Genomic DNA, 18839 nt, shown 5'->3' with positions numbered 1-18839 from the left:
CTATCCTAATAAAGAAGAAAAGAGAGAAGACTCAAATAGACACAATAAATAATGATAAAGGGGACATCACCACTGATCCCACAGAATTAAAAACTGCCGGCCGGGCGTGGTGGCTCACGCCTGTAATCCCAGCACTTTGGGAGGCTGAGGTGGGCGGATCATGAGGTCAGGAGATCGAGACCATCCCGGCTAACATGGTGAAACCCTGTCTCTACTAAAATACAAAAAATTAGCCAGGCGTGGTGGCTGGCGCCTGGCGCCTGTAGTCCCAGCTACTCGGGAGGCTGAGGCAGGAGAGTGGCGTGAACCTGGGAGGCAGAGCTTGCAGTGAGCCGAGATCACGCCACTGCACTCCAGCCTGGGCCACAGAGTGAGACTCTGTCTCAACAACAACAACAACAACAAAAACTGCCGTCAGAGAATACTGTAAACACCTCTATGCAAATAAACTAGAAAATCTAGAAGACACGGATAAATTCCTGGACACATACACCCTCCCAAGACTAAATCAGGAAGAAGTCCTGAATGGATTCAGAATCCCTGAATAGACCAATAACAGGTTCTGAAATTGAGGCAGTAATTAATAGTCTACCAACCAAAAAAAAAATCCTGGGACCAGATGGATTCACAGCCGAATTCTACCAGAGATACAAAGAGGAGCTGGTACCATTCCTTCTGAAACTATTGCAAACAATTGAAAAGGAAGGACTCCTCCCTAACCCATTATATGAGGCCAGCATCATCCTACTACCAAAACCTGGAAGAGACGCAACAAAAAAAGAAAACTTTAGGCCAATATCCCTGATGAACATTGATGCAAAAATCCTCAATAAAATACTGGCAAACCCAATCCAGCAGTACATCAAAAAGCTTATCTAGCACGATCAAACTGGCTTCATCCCTGGGATTCAAGGCTGCTTTAACATAGGCAAATCAATAAACGTAATCCATCACATAAACAGAACCAATGACAAAAACCACATGATCATCTCAATAGATGCAGAAAAGGCCTTCGACAAAATTCAACGGCCCTTCCTGCTAAAAACTCTCAACAAACTAGGTATTGATGGACTATATCTCAAAATAATAAGAGCTATTTATGACAAAAACCCACACCCAATATCATACTGAATGGGCAAAAGCTGGAAACATTCCCTTTGAAAACCGGCACAAGACAAGGATGCCTTCTTTCACTCTTCCTATTCAACATAGTATTGGAATTTCTGGCCAGGGCAATCAGGCAAGAGAAAGAAATAAATGGTATTCAAGTAGGAAGAGAGGAAGTCAAATTGACTCTGATTGCAGACAACATGGTTCTATGTTTAGAAAACCCCATTGTCTCAGCCCCAGAACTCCTTAAGCTGATAAGCAACTTCAGCAGTCTCAGGATACAAAATCAATGTGCAAAATACACAAGCATTCCTATACACCAATTATAGACAAGTGGAGAGCCAAATCATGAATGAACTCCCATTCACAATTGCTACAAAAAGAATAAAATACCTAGGAATACAGCTAACAAGGTATGTGAAGAACCTCTTCAAGGAGAACTACAAACCACTCACTGTTCAAGGAAATAAGAGAGGACACAAACAAATGAAAAAACATTCCATCCTCATGAATAGGAAGAAACAATATCATGAAAATGGCCATACTGCCCACAGTAATTTATAGACTCAATGCTCTTCCCATCAAACTACCATTGACATTCTTCACAGAATTAGAAAAAACTACTTAAAAAGGGCCCGTATAGCTAAGACAATCTTAAGCAAAAACAACAAAGCTGGAAGCATCATGCTACCTGACTTCAAACTAGACTACAAGGCTACAGTAACCAAAACAGCACGGTACTGGTGCCAAAACAGACATATAGACCAATGGAACAGAACAGAGACCTCAGAGATAACACCACACATCTACAACCATCTGATCTTTGACAAACCTGACAAAAACAAGCTGGGGAAAGAATTCCCTATTTAATAAATGGTGCTAGGCAAACTGGTTAGCCATATGCAGAAAACTGAAATTGGACCCCTTCCTTACACCTTATACAAAAATTAACTCAAGATAGATTAAAGACTTAAATGTAAAACCCAAAATCATAAAAACCCTAGAAGAAAACCTAGGCAATACCATTCAGGACGTAGGCATGGGCAAAGACTTCATGACGAAAATGCTAAAAGCAATAGCAGCAAAAGCCAAAATTGACAAATGAGATCTAATTAAACTAAAAAACTTCCACACAGCAAAAGAAACTCTCATTAGAGTGTACAGGCAACCTACAGAATGGGAGAAAATTTTGCAATCTACCCATCTGACAAAGGTCTAATATCTAGAATCTACAAGGAACTTAAATTTACAAGAAAAAAACCCCATCAAAAAGTGGGCATAGGATATAACAGCATTTCTGAAAAGAAGACATTTATGCAGCCAACAAACATATGAAAAAAAGCTCATCAATACTGGTCATTTGAGAAAAGCAAATCAAAACCAAAATGACATACCATCTCACACCAGTCAGAATGGCAATTATTAAGAAGTCGAGAAACAATTGATTCTGGCGAGGCTGTTGAGAAATAGGAATGCTTTTACACTGCTGGTGGGAATGAAAATTAGTTCAAGTATTGTGGAACACAGTGTGGTGATTCCTCAAGGGTCTAGAACCAGAAAAACCATTTGACCCAGCAATCCCATTATTGGGTATATACCCAAATGAATATAAATCATTCTGCTATAAAGACACATGCACATGTATGTTTATTGCACCACTATTTACAATAGCAAAGACATGGAACCAATCCAAATGCCCATCAATGAGAGACTGGATAAAGAAAACGTGGTGCGTATACACCATGGAATACTATGCAGCCATAAAAAGGAATGAGAGCATGTCCTTTGCAGAGACATGGATGAAGCTGGAAGCCATCATCCTCAGCATACTAACCCAGGAACAGAAAACCAAACACTGCATGTTCTCATTGATAAGTGGGAGTTGAACAGTGAGAACACATGGAAAAAGGAAGGGGAACAACATAAACCAGGGCTAGTCGGGGGGTGGGGGCCAAGGGGAGGGAGAGCATTAGGACAAACAGCTAATGCATGCGGGGCTTGAAACCTAGATGATGGGTTGATAGGTGCAGCAAACCACCATGGCACATGTATACCTACGTAACAAACCTACACATTCTACACTTGTATCCCAGAACTTAAAGTAAAAGTAAATAAATAAATAAATAAAAATAAATTTAAAGTGCTATTCCAGTGAGCATATTAGTGATAAGTAAGCAAAACAGCCTTCTTGCTGATATGGAGAAAGTTTTAGTGGTCGGAGTGGAAGATCAAACCAGCCATAACATTCCCTTAACCAAAGCCAGATCCAGAGCAAGGCTTCACTCTTTTCAATTCTATGAAGGCTGAGAGAGGCGAGGAAGCTTCAGAAGAATAGTTGGAAGATAGCAGAGGTTGGTTTATGTAGTTAAGAATAGAAGCTATCTTTATAACATAAGCAAGTGCTGATGCAGAAGCTGTAGCAAGTTGTCTAGAAGATCTAGCTAAGATAATTTATGAAGGTGGCTACATGGAACAACAGACTTTTAATGTGGATGAAGCAGCCTTCTATTGGACAAAGATGCCATCTAGAACTTCAATAGCTAGAGAGAAGTCAATACCTGGCTTCAATGAAGGACAGACTGAATTTCTTGTTATGGGATAATGCAGCTAGTGACTTAAATTAGAAGGCAATACTTATTTACCATGCCAAAAATCCTAGGGCCCTTAAGAAATTTGCTAAATCTACTCTACTTATGCTCTATAAATGGAACAAAAAAGTCTGATGGCACCACATCTGTTTACAGTATGGTTTACTGAATCTTTTAAGCCCACCTTTGAAACCTACTGCTCAGAAAATTTTTTTTTTCCAAGTATCACTGCTTATGGGCAATGCTCATAGCCACCCAAGAGCTCTGATGGGGATGTACAAGGAGATTAATGTTGTTTTCATGCCTGCCAATACAATATTTATTCTGCAGCCCATGGAGTAAGGAGTAATTTCAACTTTTCAGTGTTGTGATTTTAGAAATACTTTTCATACAGCTGCCGTAGATAGTGATTTCTTTGATGGATCTAGGCAAAGTGAACTGAAAATCTTCAGGAAAGGATTTACCATCTAGATGGCACTGACAACATTCATGACTCAATAGGTGAGATCAAAATACCAACATTAATAGGGATTTGGAAGACGTTGATTCCGACTCTCATGGATGACTTCGAGGGGTTCAAGACTTCAGTAGAGGAAGTAACTGCAGATGTGGTGGAAATAGCAAGAGAACTAGACGTAGAAGTACAGCCTGAAGATGAGGCTAAATTGCTACAATTTCATAATAATACTTGAATGAATGAGAAATTTCTTCTTATGAATGAGCAAAGAAAGTTGTTCCTTCAGATGGAATCTACTTCTGGTAAAGATGCTGTGAACAGTATTGAAATGACAATAAAGGATTTAGACTATTAGATAAACTCAGTTGATAAAGAAGTGACAGGATTTGAGAAGATTGACTCCAATTTTAAGAGGACTTTTAGATAAAATGTTATCAACTGCATTACATATCACAGGGAACTCTTTCGTGAAAGAAAAAATCAATTGATGGGGCCAAATTCATTGTTGTCTTATTTTTATGAAATTGCCACAGTTACCTCAATCATCAGCAGCCATCATTCTGATTAGTCAGCAGCCATCAACTTGGAGGCAAGACCCTCCAGAAGCAGAAAGATGATGACTTGCTGAAAGCTCAGAGGATTGTTTGCATTTTTTAGCAATAAAGTATTTTAAAATTAAGGTATATACCTTTTTTAGATGTAATGTTATTGCACTTTTAATAGACTACAGTATAATGTAAGCATAACTTTTATATACACTAGGAAACCAAAAAATATGTGACTTGCTTTATTGGGATATTTGCTTTATTGAGCTTTTATTTGGTCTGGAACCAAACCTGTAATATATCAGAGGTATGCCTGTAACTGAAACCATGAGAGTGGCTGAGATTATTCTGGGAGAGTCTGTAGAGCAAGAAGAGCAGTGAGTCATTTCTAAATGCAATGAGAGGTATTTAGAATAACAGTCTCTTTGTTTTACTGATGAGGAAATTGAGGCCTGGCACCAGAGAGATTTTGGGATTTTCCTGTATAGCTAAGGAGGGGAAACTGGAACTTGAAACTGGGTCTCCTGATTCCAAGTCACTATTCCTTCTATCATATTGATCTCAAAATAACAATCCTAATTTAGGGGAAACTTGCAGGAAATTTGCTTTAGAATGCCCCTGGGGAATAATCCAATTATTGATATGATATGTCTTTTTTGTCTGAATTCTGTAGAAACAAACATCAATTGTTTTATCCACATGTTTACATTGTTCTAGGATGAGAATTACTATAAATACATTAGATAAAAAATTATTTGATTCTAAATCCATGGCAGGTTTATGTAAAACTCTGCAAGTCTGTAACTTTTATATGTTCATAAGATGATTGGCAGATCAAGCCTGTTATTTGAGCCCATTAAGAAAGAACATAGGAACTTCTGTGCATATAAGCAGAGACTGAATGTCAGGGTGTTGCTATAGTCACAAAACAAACTTGGTATCATTATTACCTGTTTTAATCACTTGTCTAACCATAGAGAGTACTAACATAGATTCTACCATGGTAGGGCAGTAGTGGTCTCTATGAAATAAGTTTTATTTACTCCTTAATAACTGTTGTTAACTCAGTCATTTTTATATCTTTGTTTTCCTTAGAAACTGACTTATGCAAAGGAAACTGTAAGCAGGTGAGTGTCTCTTTTTCCCAAAATTCATGTTTGGCAACACAGATGTGTCATAGCCTAATTCAAGACTCACCCCAAATTTAATGGTGCCTTTCTATTTTCTTGCCAGTTCGCAATGACCAGGCCTGTGGATAAGTCCCAAATATTTTTCCTCATTCCCAAGCCACCTTTCTTTTCAGACCATGACCACAGCCACTGTGCGCATTTGCTGTCTGAACTTATTATGAGGCAAACTTGCTCCTCTCTTAGATAAGAAAACAGATTTATGGTTTATATGGAGTGACCTATTGTTGAGGTTTAAAGGCTAATGATGAAATTGTTATGAAATTGTACACCACAGTGGAGAATAGTTTATTAAATGATGGGTGGTGCTATGGATCAATTTATTGACTATTGATGATTATGTTCTTGAAACATAGGAATAGCATAACCTATTATGATTCTTGACTCTGTTCACTGTGGGCTTAGAGCTAAGGTCGTTTCTGGCTTCTGGGAAGTATTAGTACAAAGAAGATGACAGAAGGTAAGGGATTTTGAGCCTACAGGGGCTAAAGCTTTCCAATTCTATTCATCCTCGGAGCATCTAAATTATAACAGCATGTGGGTAGTTATATAGGAAGGTACCACTAGAGCATGCAATCCAGGTCATAGTTCAGAATTTTGCCTCAAATTAGAGGGAAGGACAGATTGAAAAAACCAAGTAGGTGAGTCAGTGTACAGAGATCCAACCTGGGCATCAGAGTCAGGGCAAAACCATAAATGGAATATATATGTGGGTGGTAGTGGGGTATATCCAGGTTTCAAATCAAACACAAATGAATAGGAAAGAAGTGGGACTCTGTGTGGTCTTATTCAAACAGCCAATGGCACTGAGTCTATACCAGGGTGTGGGATTGAGCATTTACTTAAATATGGGCCAAGTGGTCTCTTGGGTGTGGTTTACTCTGTTTTATTTTTTACATTTATTTATTTAGAGACAGGGTCTTGCTCTGTCGCCCAGGCTGGAGTGCAGTGGCATGATCACACCTCACTGCAGCCTCGTGCTCCCAGGCTTAAGTGATCCTCCACTTCTGCCTCCCAAGTAGTTGGGACTACAGGCACACACCATCATGCCCAGCTAACTTTTTTGTATTTTTCTGTAGAAACAGGGTTTTGCTATGTTGTCCAGGCTAGTTTTGATCTCCTGGGCTCAAGCAATTGGCCCGCCTCAGCCTCCCAAAGTGTTGGGATTGATTGCAGGTGTGAGCCACTATGCCTGGCCGGGTGTGGTTTCTTCACCACAGAGAGGCAGAGCTCAGAGATTCCTTGTGATTGCCATTGCAACAGACAGTGGATCTGTAAATCTATAGTTGTACTGATAGAACTAGAAGGAACCTTAGAGGTCACCTCATCCAACTTTCACAGTCTATTGGCTCGATTAACTTCTCTAAGCTCTCTCTAAGTTCATCGTGCCCGAAGCTATATCAATCATTTCGTCACAAATCTGTTTCTTTCTACGTTCCTCTCATCAGTGAATGAATGGCATTATCATCCATCTAGTTGCCCATATTCTTTTCTCTTTCTTTCTCCCTTCCTTCTCTTCTCCTATTTTCTAATTATCTCTTGATTCCATCCATTTCTCTCTGACCCCACAGTCCCTATACTAATTCATATAATCAACACTTATTTGCTGGTACAAAGGCTTGCCAAGAGGTCTCTCTACTTCCCTCTGAGCCCTCCTCTCCACCCTGGCCAGAAATCTTCAAAAGAATAAATTTGATCATGTGCCTCTCCTCTGTAAGACAATTTAATAGTTCCTCATTGCTTTTAAGATCAAAATTAACATGACCCGCAAGGCTCTTCACAGTTAGGCCTGTGCCCAGCCTCATCTGTCTCAGTTTCCTTCTCAAACTCTATGGTTCAGCCATAGTTTTTTAGAGTACCCTTGAGCCATTATATTTCCATATTTGTTGCCTGACTAACATTATCAAACATGTAATAGCATTTTAACATTTATTGATTGCTTACAGTATACTAGATATTTTACATGTATTAATTTATTTAATCCTCTGAGTTTAGCCCTCTGAATTATGTACTTTTACTATCTTTATTTGATAGATGAAGAAGCAGTATTAGAGTTTAAATAACTCAAGGTAATCCAGGTCATTTGATTCTTAAGCATCTGATTTTTAACCTCTATTAATACTGCCTTTTACTGTGTAAAATATGTCACCTCACTTAATTATTACAATAACAACAACCAAAAACCTAAGTTAGTAATACCCTTACAGGAATCCAAAATATGAATAAAATCAGTAATTGCACAAAATACCTAAAGCCTGACTCTTCTTGAAAAACCTACCATGTAGCCTTTAGCAGGTTTCTGTAGGATCCTGATGAATGAATAAAAAAAGTATCTTACTCATTTTTGTAACCCTAATAGGTAACATTCTTGAGGAAATGAACTGTGTTTTAGGATTTGTTGTAAGCTCTACATTAACTAGCACCAAGCGTGTATGTAGTATAATCTTAATATGTACAGTTTATATTGCTTTGGTTGACTTTGTTTAACCAATCAGACCAATATCAAAACATACTTGTGTTCGTAGTGTAGCATATGTGCACACACACCCATACATAGAGAGAGGGAAGAGAAATCAATTCGAAAGGATGACTTAAAAAATTTAGCTGTTATTTTAGATATTAAGGATACATGTGTAGGATTGTTACATGGGTATATTGGACCCAGGTAGTGAGCATAGTACCCAATATGTAGTTTTTCAACCCACACCTACCCGCCTTCTAGTAGTCCACAGTGTCTATTGTTCCTATGTTTATATCCATATATGCTCAATGTTTACCTCTCACTTATAAGTGAGAACATGCAGTATTTGGCTTTCTGTTCCTACATTAATTCACTTAGGATTATGGCCTCCAATTCCATCCAAGTTGCTGCAAAGGACATGAGTTCATTCTTTTTCATCGCTGCATAGTATTCCATGGTGTATATGTACCATATTTTCTTCATCCAATCCACCATTGATGGGCACCTCGATTGATTCCATGTTTTTGCTGTTATGAATAGCTAATGATGAACATATGAGTGCATGTGGCTTTTTGATATAATGATATGGGATTGCTGGTTTGAATGGTAGCTCTGTTTTAAGTTCTTTGAGAAATCTCCAAACTGCTTTCACAGTGGCTGAACTAATTTACATTCCTACTAATAGTATATAAGCATTTCTTTTTCTCTGCAACCTCATCAACATCTGTTATTTTCTCACTTTTTAGTAGCCATTCTGACTGGTGTGAGATGGTATTTCATTGTAGTTTTGATTTGCATTTCCCTGAGTGTTACTGATGCTGAGCATTTTTTCATATATTGACCTCATGTATGTCTTCTTTTGAGAAGTGTCTTTTCCTTTGCCTACTTTTTAATGGGGTTATTTGCTTTTTGCTGGTTGAATTGTTTAAATTCCCTATAGATTCTTGATATTAGACCTTTGTCAGATGCCTAGTTTGTGAATATTTTCTCCCATTCTGTAGGTTGTCTGTTTAGTATGTTGATAGTTTATTTTGCTGTGCAAAAGCTCTTTAGTTTAATGAAGTCCCACTTGTCAATTTTTGTTTTTGTTGCAATTGCTTTTGGGGGCTTGGCCATAAATTCTTTGCCAAGGCCAATGTTGAAAAAGATATTTTCTAAGTTTTCTTCTAGAATTTTTATAGTTTGAGGTCTTACATTTAAATATTTAATCAATTTTTAGTTAATTTTGGTATATGATAAAAGGTAGGGTTCCAGTTTTTTTTATTCTACATATGGCTAGCCAGTTATCCCAGCAGCATTTATTGAATGGGAAGTCCTTTCCCCATTGTTCATTTTTGTCAGACTTGTTGAAGATCAGTTGGTTGTAGATGTGAAGCTTTATTTCTGAGTTTTCTATCCTGTTCCATTGGTCTATTTGTCTGTTTTTGTACCAGTACCATTCTGTTTTGGTTACTGTAGCCTTATAGTGTGGTTGGAAGTTGGATAGTGTGATGCCTCTGGCTTTGTTCTTTTTGCTTAGGATACTTTGGCTATTCAGGCTCTTTTTTGGTTCCACATGAATTTTAAAGTAGCTTTTTCTAATTCTGTGAAGAATGACATTGCTAGTATGATAGGAATAGCATTGAATCTGTAAATTGCTTTGGGCAGTATGGTCATTTTAATGACATTGATTCTTCCAATCCATGAGCATGAGACTCTTTTGATTGATTCAGCTTTGGGTGTGGCCAAGGTTGCCACACTGTAAATTTTGCAAAGGCTATGTTTCCATATTAATTAATCATGGTTACAAGCTAAGTACATTTTGTTCCAATAGATTCTGTGTTACTATACCCTGACAGTAACACAATATTCCTGAAAACCTAACTTCAGACCTTACTGGATTTCATCATTCAAAGAGGAAAAATTTAGATCTGTGCTTTTTTCCTGCTAAGAGATTTATTTCTTGCATAATGTATCAACTAATAAATACCTGATCACAGTGCACCTCATTCACAACTACTAGGAGGTGATTAGAGAAGGAGGGGAAATGAATGAAAGTCTGTTAATTGGCTAAAGCATAATGGGTTTTCTCTGGAGCTGCCCCAAATTGATCATCTCATTCATTTCCTTGGGTTCTCCTGCCTGCTGATTCAAACTGTCCCATCTTTCTGTGCATCAGCTGGAAACAAACACCTTCATTCTCTCCTTCACCATCCCAACTCCCAAGAGGAATTTTTACAGAGAAGGTAGAATGATTCTGCTCATGTGAAGAGAAGGTTTTCCATCATGAGAACTAGCCTATAATGCAGCACATGCCATCGGAAGCTAGACTGGTAATGCGAGGCATATATAGTGTGAGTACATATATCTACAAATGTTGAGGCAGTATAATTTCCAAGCATTCAAAGTACTGATATGCACTTGAATGTTAAAACATCATAAAGATGCCAAGGGGAAGAGAGATGAGACTTTTTCTTCATTATCTTGTCATAGAATTAGGCTGGTAGACTTCATGGTAGACCACTATAAGAGGTAGACCATAATTTATTTTTCTAGATTGGATATTGAAGCATGCCATTTCACTGTAAATCTGGGCCTAATAACTAAAAATACTAACATATCAGCAGTTACTTAGAATATTGTAAAAAGCTTCTTACTCACAAGAATGGACAATGATATTTGCCCTTTTAAATGTTTTAGAATAACCATACTCAATAATCACCTAATTAGAGTCATTTTAATAAAATTAAAAATATTAGCTAATACTAATGTATTAGTTATAGGCCAGACATTGTTCTAGGTACTTTATTACTTGTATTAATTTACTTAATCCTCTGAACAATATAATGAGGTAGGTATTAATATTATCCTTCTCTTAAAGAGAAGGAAATTATGGCGTAGAGAATTTAAGGGACTTGTCCAAGGTCACAAAGCCAGTATTCAACCCCTATGCTATAATGCATATGTATTTAAATTATTAGGATATTTTACATCATTCAGAGATTAAAAAATCAGTTTTCTTTGTTGTACATATATGTGTGTGAATGAGAAAGACAAACATGAAGAATGAAAAGAAGTATTTAAATGGTTTCTATAATTTACATACTAAAAGCCCAGACTTCATCACTACACCATGTATCCATGTTACAAAATGGCACTTGTACCCCGTAAATCTACCAAAATTTATAAAAATTTAAAATTAAAAATGATATAATGAACTTTTCTGTAGATATTTGTACCAATTTCAAAATCATATCTGCTGAAATTCAAAGGCACTAACTTCAAATGAAGAAAGATTTAGAAAGTAACTACTTTATATTAGACAGACTTCTCCATGATAATGTTTCTCAAACCATCAGTTGTCAGCATATTGAATACGTACCATGTGGCCTGGCTGTGAGTCCATGCAATAAGGCAGTATATGAGAGAGACAGAGCTGTAGACAGGAGAGATATTGAAATTTTAGTGTTTCTCTTATCAACAACTTGTGCTAAATCTTGGTTGTTTCACTTTAAATAAAAATACCTGTTTCTCAGGCTTTAGGAAAACATCAAATGATCAAGAATAGGATTCCTAGAAGAGCAGGAAGTCTATGTCTTTCTGTGTCTGTAGCACATTCAGTGAGAGTAGGGGCAGAATGTACTGATCCCTGTGTGTCTTTCTGTCAGGGATGTGGCCTAGCGCAGCATTATCCTTTTGGTGCACACTGGCAGTACTCTTGGGGCAAAGATGGACCAGTAGAGGAATGGATAGTGGTGTTACTCCCTGACCTCTTATGAGATGACATATCTCCAACCCTACCATCATCCCTTACACATCTGCATTTATAGACATATAGAGCTTTACATTTTAACAAGATTTTTTACATTTAATTGTCACAATTACCCTATGAAATTTTTACAGGATGAAATTCTCTGAGTTCACAAAACTTAATGAGACTTGTTTACAATTCCAGTCGTTAAGTGACAGAAAAATGGAGCTATCAAATTAGTTAACAGTCTCTGGGACATTCTAGCAATGTCAGCAAAAGGAAAGTTAACTAATTTGATGGTTGTGGTTTATTAGAAAGCAAGAATTCAGTAATGGTTCTATTTTTTTTACAGTTTTGTTTCTTTAAAAAAAAGGTTAAATTATGAAATATCTCAGACATAGAGACAAATATTAAGCCTACTCTGACTCTGGCCCTCTCAAACTTGTGCTGCAGGAGATGATGGTAACTACAGTAAGCAGATGGCATTGGAAGTGCATTGAAATCCTGTGTGCACAGCTAGGACAAGGAATATTACTTCTTTTAGAAACTGCTAGGCACAGATTTTGAGTCTGTCCTAAATATACATGAATTTGTTTGTTTAATACCTACTAAGGATATTTATGCATTCTCCTTTTGCCATTCAAATGATTTTGTTTTTTTTTGTTGTTCATATTGATAAATAAATCTTGATTTAGTTTCTTGAATTGAATATTAGAATTTGTTTACCAATAAAAATATTGATTCATTGGATTCATTAAAACAATGAGTCTCTTTTACTGGAAAGTTCTCTACTCTCTGGGAAGGTTTACTAAGAAGAGCACTGGACTGGGCATCAAGAGACTTTTTCTTTTTGCCTCTACCTGGCTACTTTGATTTTGGATAAATGACTCAAACAATCTGATGCAATGTTTTTTATCTATAAACTGAGAAGATGGAAGACAACTCATTTATGATGACATCTCTATGTGAATGTCAAGTAGACATTTCAAACTCAACACATCCACAACTGAACTCCTGGTTCTCCCATGCCCCCAACCCAATTAACTCTGCATTTCTATTGGTGACAACTTTATTGTGTCTGTCATGCAGACCAAAACTTTGTGATCATGCTTTATATTTCCGTTTCTCCCACACCTCACATCCAATCCATCAAGAAATTCTGTTGCCTGTAGATTCAAAATATATCTCGAATCTGATCACTTTTCACCATCTTCACTGCCACCACCCTGGTATGAGCCACCAGCATCTTTTATTCTTATAATAGCTTCTTAACATGTCTAACCCTTTCCCAACTACAGTACATTTTCAACACAGCAGCCAGAGTTATTTTTTATTTTTCTTATTAGTCTATATATTCGTCAGCTAAGGGGATTTTAACATTTGCTTAGAACAGTGTTTATCAAACTTTTCTCCCAAAGTCCTCAATGGCAGAAAATATGGGCAGTATAGCTCAGAGTTTTTTGTTTTGTTTTGTTTTTGCAAATCCAAACTTCCTTTTCTTAAGACTTCATGCACTCTTTTGTATTTTGCTATGTAGTATATCAGTATGTATAAATTTTATATAAATTGATTTATTTCCTCAAATATCACACAAAATGGAAGCTTTGGAAATGGAGCCAAGTCTACTCTGTGGCTTCTGGCCATCTACTGTATACTCTGTATATATGTACCATGTTGGAAAGAGTCTTAGAACAAACAAATTTATGGGGTTTATTCAAAAACTTTCTATGAAAACAAAACACCTTCATCATATAGTTAGTTCTACTATAACATGATATATTATTTCCTAAAAATTGTTGAAAATCACTCAATAAAAACTACAGGGGCAATGGGAATAATAAAGTTGGGGCACAATACCCAAAAACTTTGTCAACAATACATTTTTTAAAAAAAGGAAACTAGTGGCTGGCATGGTGGCTCAACGCCTGTAATCCCAGCACTTTGGGAGGCTGAGGCAGGCAGATTACTTGAAATCAGGAGTTCAAGACCAGCCTGGCCAACATGGTGAAATCCCGTCTCTACAAAAATACAAAAAAAATTAGCCAGGCATGGTGGCGTGCACCTGTAATCCTGACTGCTCGGGAGGCTAAGGCAGGAGAATAGCTTGAACCTGAGAGGCAGAGGTTGCAGTGAGCCGAGATTGCGCCACTGCACTCCAGCCTGGGCAACAACAGAGTGAGACTCCATCTCAAAAACAAACAAAAAGTAAACTAATAAAAATGGTGGCACAGTTTACATGTCCCATGTGGTTAAGAAATACACAAATACCATAATAAATATGTCACTTAACCTTGATGAATTTCTGACATTTGTTCGTAAAATTGGACACTGGAAAGATTGTAGCTTATAAATTATTGTAAAGTGATGGAAGGAGAGTTATGTGAAGAAGGACAGAAAGTTGTAACACTATACGAGGGTAGGTGTGGTTCATAACTCATGGGTGAACTAAGGTAGCTGGAAGATGTCTGAAGTGTTGGGCATGAGAGTGCTTGGTGTATTCCTACATGGTCTCTATTCATCTGGGTGGTTTTGTTTGTTCATCTAGTGTTTCTCACAATGAAATTGGGTATAGGTAAAGGAGAAATCTGTATTATGCTCAACTGTTTCTTAATATATTAATCATGTTGAAACAAATTTACAAATAAATAGCATAGCAGAACTGACTGTATGTATCATGTATCTCTATTGATAAGTCACTGCCTGTACTAGGTATAAATAATAGAGGATACAAGATATTCACTATTCTTAGAAAATAAGGCATATAAAGAAATAACAATACATAACTAAAATATAAGTTAATTTTGAAAATTTAAAAATTTGTATTCTGCCTGAAACTAGGGCAGATGAGGTTGAAGTGGGGTGGAGACTGCCGACTGTGGGAGATGCTGAAGGGGATGACATGGGGCTAGCTCACACTGGGAGTGATACCATAGGAGTGGCCTAAGAATTTACTCAGCCTATCTTTCTCCGCTTGAATATTACCATCATCCATTAAAACCCTTATTTGCCCACGATTTCCATGGACCACAAAGCCAAATATATATTTTTTTCAGCAAATATTTTATTCTCTTTGGGATGACATGTGTCACTACTCCATTAACTCCCATTTCCACTATTCAAATTTATTTTTATAAATTTTTTGAGATTATTTTTGTATTCTCTGTGTAAAGAGATTCTTGTATTAGTTTTCTACTGCTGCTTTAACTAATTAGTCTGACCTTGGCAGCTTAAAACAACATAGATTATCTTATAGTTCTGCAGTTCAAAAGCCTCCTTTGGGTCTCAAAGTATCAGCATGGCTATGTTCCTTTTTAGAAGCTGTAGGGGAGAATCTGTTTTCTTGCCTTTTCTAGCTTCTACAGACCACCCACATTTCTTGGCTCATGGCCCACTTCCATCTTCAAAGACAGCAATGGCCGGTGGAGTCTCTCTCACATTCCGTCACTCTGACTTTCTTCTGTCTCTCTCTTCCACATGAAAGGGTCCCTGTGATTACATGGAGCCTACTGGATAACCCAGCATACTCTGCCTATTTTAAGATCTGCCGATTAGCAAGCTTAATTCTACTTGCAACCTTAATTCCCCTCTCTGGGAATTAAGATATGGCCCTCTTTGGGAGGCTAGTATTCTGCCAATCACAATTCTCTGTAATTTAAATTGCAGACCTCTATGCAAACTCTAATACATCTGCTAATGTATGTCTTGCACCAAATACTCTGCTATATCCTATTTTAAACATCTCCTGCTATCAGTTGCCAACTCTTAAAAAGAACATTTTCTGCCTGTATTCAGGACCTTAAATTCTGTCTTTCCTCTTAGAAACCTCTGCCTGTCATTGTTTCTCTCTTTCTCCTGAGTCTCCAACTTCCTTCTTTACTAACTCTTTCCCATTAGTATTTAAACATGCTGAAGTCCCTCTCATGTTACCTATTTTTAAAACAGCCCGCATTTATCTCCATTATAGCCAGACATCTTGAAAGAATGTCCACTTAGCTCCAATCACTCCTTAAACTCCTGCCATCTGGTTTTACGGTTACATCCCCAATAACGAGTGCAAGGCTCATCCTAGGATATGTGCTTACTAAATATTTGTTAAATTAATAACAGAATTTCTACCTAATCACCCAAGTCTATTATCAGGTCTCTGGTGATATTCTCAGTATAAGGACTGCTCTTTGGGATTGTGTGTGTGTGTGTCTCAATTAATTTACATTTGTAGTTGAGAATTGTAGTTGAGAATACCCATCATGGATCACTATATATATATAATTTTTTTTTTTTGCAACAGTCTCGCTCTGTCACCCAGGCTGGAGTGCAGTGGCCCGATCTCAGCCCACTGCAACCTCCACCTCTGACGTTCAAGCGATTCTCCTGCCTCAGCCTCCCGAGTAGCTGGGATTACAGGCATGTGCCACTATGCCCGGCTAATTTTTGTATGTTTTTTAGTAGAGATGGGGTTTCGCCATGTTGGCCAGGCTGGTTTCGAACTCCTGACCTCAGGTGATCCGTCCACCTCGGCCTCCCAAAGTGCTGTGATTACAGGCATGAGCCACTGTGCCTGGCCTATATATATATATTTTCAGCAAATGTTTTATTCTGTTTGGGATGATATATGTCACTGTCCCATTAACCCCTGTTTTATATTTGTTTAGCATTTCATACTTTTTCTGATGCTTCTGCATATAATATTTTATTTAATTTTTGTCAACACCTTCTTGAAATAGGCAGACGTGGAGGTGTTCTTGTTTTAAAGGGTAAGTTTTTGAGGCCCAGAGCAACTAAGGTATTTCCCTAAATCATACACAAAGTTAATGATACATCTAGGACTAGCACTCAGGTTTCTTAACTCCTTTCTTTGAGTTCTTTTGTGGTCACATGTGATTATAGTAACATATTCGAGAGCAAAGCAAAGTATAGAAGATATCAAGGGGAGCAGGAATCTGCATATGAACCTGTGCTTGGCTTGTTTTACAATGTCTTTAAATATATGTTCTATGTGGCTATGAGCAGCTGTTGACATGATCCCACCTGAATTCCATTGACATGATTAGGTAGTAGTGGTGAAGAATGAATAATGTGCTGGATGAAATGAGGAGAGGAGATAGTAAGGGGTTGTATGTTATTAGTATTAAGCTAAAGATCTTAGCTGAACAGCTTCAACTTTGTGGTTTGACTTAGAAATTAAGTAGTATTTCTCTTTCCAAGCTCAATACACCTCTGTGTTCCAGTGCTGTGGTGAGTGACATTTTAAAGGATCTCTGCAGGGGGAATACTTAATGAAAACATGTAAAAGGATTCTTGTTGTTAAGTGTTCTTTACTGTCTCTTGAAAGGAGAGTGGGTGGTTGAGGGATTAAGAGTTGGAGTGTAGGCAAGTGATTTAAATTACTAAGAGTTTCCTACTTATCACTATTAAAATAATGTTATTTTGAATTCAGCAAGGTGAAATCTAGTTCAACTGAAGTAAACTTCTCCATTCTGAATGTTTGCTTAGTTAGAGAATTAGCGTAAATTTGATTTGACGTCGGAGACAATTTAACTCACCCCAGGTGAAGTCCGGTTTCTCTGCTACCTCATTGCAACATCCTATTCGAGTTGCTGTGTTGTGCTTTCATACCTTTGCCTTATTGTGATCCTTATATCTGGTTGCTCTCCATAGAGCAACTCTAACCAGGTTCCCCTTCCTCTTTCTGGGACCTTACACACTGACTTTTAGGTCATTTAGTTTTTATAGGCCAGTATCATGAAGGCCAAGTGAAACCCTTCTAAAGAGTAGGGATCACATAAGGGCCATGTTGTGAAGCAGTGATTTGAGATGAGTAAGAATGAGGTTTCTGGCATCCAGTGGGCCTATTTTACATAACAGCTTCTCCATTGGCTTAGCTGTGTGACCCTGAGCAAATTCTTAACCTCTTCTAGCATTAGTTTCCTCATCAGTCTAAATGGGATCATAGGATCTCCTTCTTAAGGTGGTTGCCAGAATTAAGTTAGTTAACCTAAATAAAGCACTTAGCAGTGTATGACACATGATGAGGGCTCAGTAAAGTTAGTTGTAATTATTCTTGCTGTTATTATTGAAAGAGAACTGGATACAATTAGGAATTTTTGTGTGAGCCTGGGAAAGTTGCTTTACCTGTTTGGACCTTATTTCTTTCATCTATGAAATGAAGGTACTGGGAAGGAGTACTGCCATGTGGACAATTGATGGACCCTATTCAGGCCTGATTATGTTAATGTTTCTTCTGAATGCATCTGAATCCCATTTTTTTCAGCTCCATCCTCTGTAACCCAAGAAGCCTCTTAATGCTTCCTCATCACTCATGCTGTCCTCTGCTCATCAAAATAACTTGTCCAGATGTCATATCCCTTTAGGTTCTTCTAGATGAAACTTAATAAGCAATTTTATGCAAATGTGCTCTAAATAAACAATACTGATGAGTTTTGTGTAATAGTTTAACATCTTACTTTTTTAGATAGAATTTTTAAAACCAGAAAGATCTTTATGGTGAAGTTTGTTTTTTTTTTTTAACTTATGTTTCTCAAATTTTCTGCCAAAGCCTGGGCATTTAGAAAACATGCCCCTAATTTACCCTCCCATACCAGCTCCAATCATAAAATGTCTTTGAATTATCATATTTTATCTTCATATTCACTTAAACTTTATATTCTATTCCATAATATAGCTATGTTTGTTATAATATTAAAACGTTTTAAATTATACATCAGTTCTTATTTAGCTCCTAACCTGTTTAAGCTTGTAGT

At 37.3% G+C, this 18839-nt stretch overlaps 1 protein-coding gene across 1 annotated transcript in view; it reads left to right on the top strand.

The window, feature by feature from the left end:
* IMPG2 (interphotoreceptor matrix proteoglycan 2) overlaps nucleotides 1-18839 on the top strand; it is a 98030-nt gene that overhangs the window by 23270 nt on the left and 55921 nt on the right. Inside the window, exon 4 of the mRNA NM_016247.4 lies at nucleotides 5796-5827. Within this exon, the coding sequence (NP_057331.2) occupies nucleotides 5796-5827 (32 nt within the window). The remainder of the gene's footprint in view (nucleotides 1-5795; nucleotides 5828-18839) is intronic.

The sequence above is a fragment of the Homo sapiens genome, chromosome 3, assembly GCF_000001405.40.
Source record: "Homo sapiens chromosome 3, GRCh38.p14 Primary Assembly".
Lineage (NCBI taxonomy): Eukaryota > Metazoa > Chordata > Mammalia > Primates > Hominidae > Homo > Homo sapiens.
The sequence above is the reverse complement of the archived record's forward strand: the minus strand, read 5'-3'. Positions and strand labels throughout refer to the sequence as shown.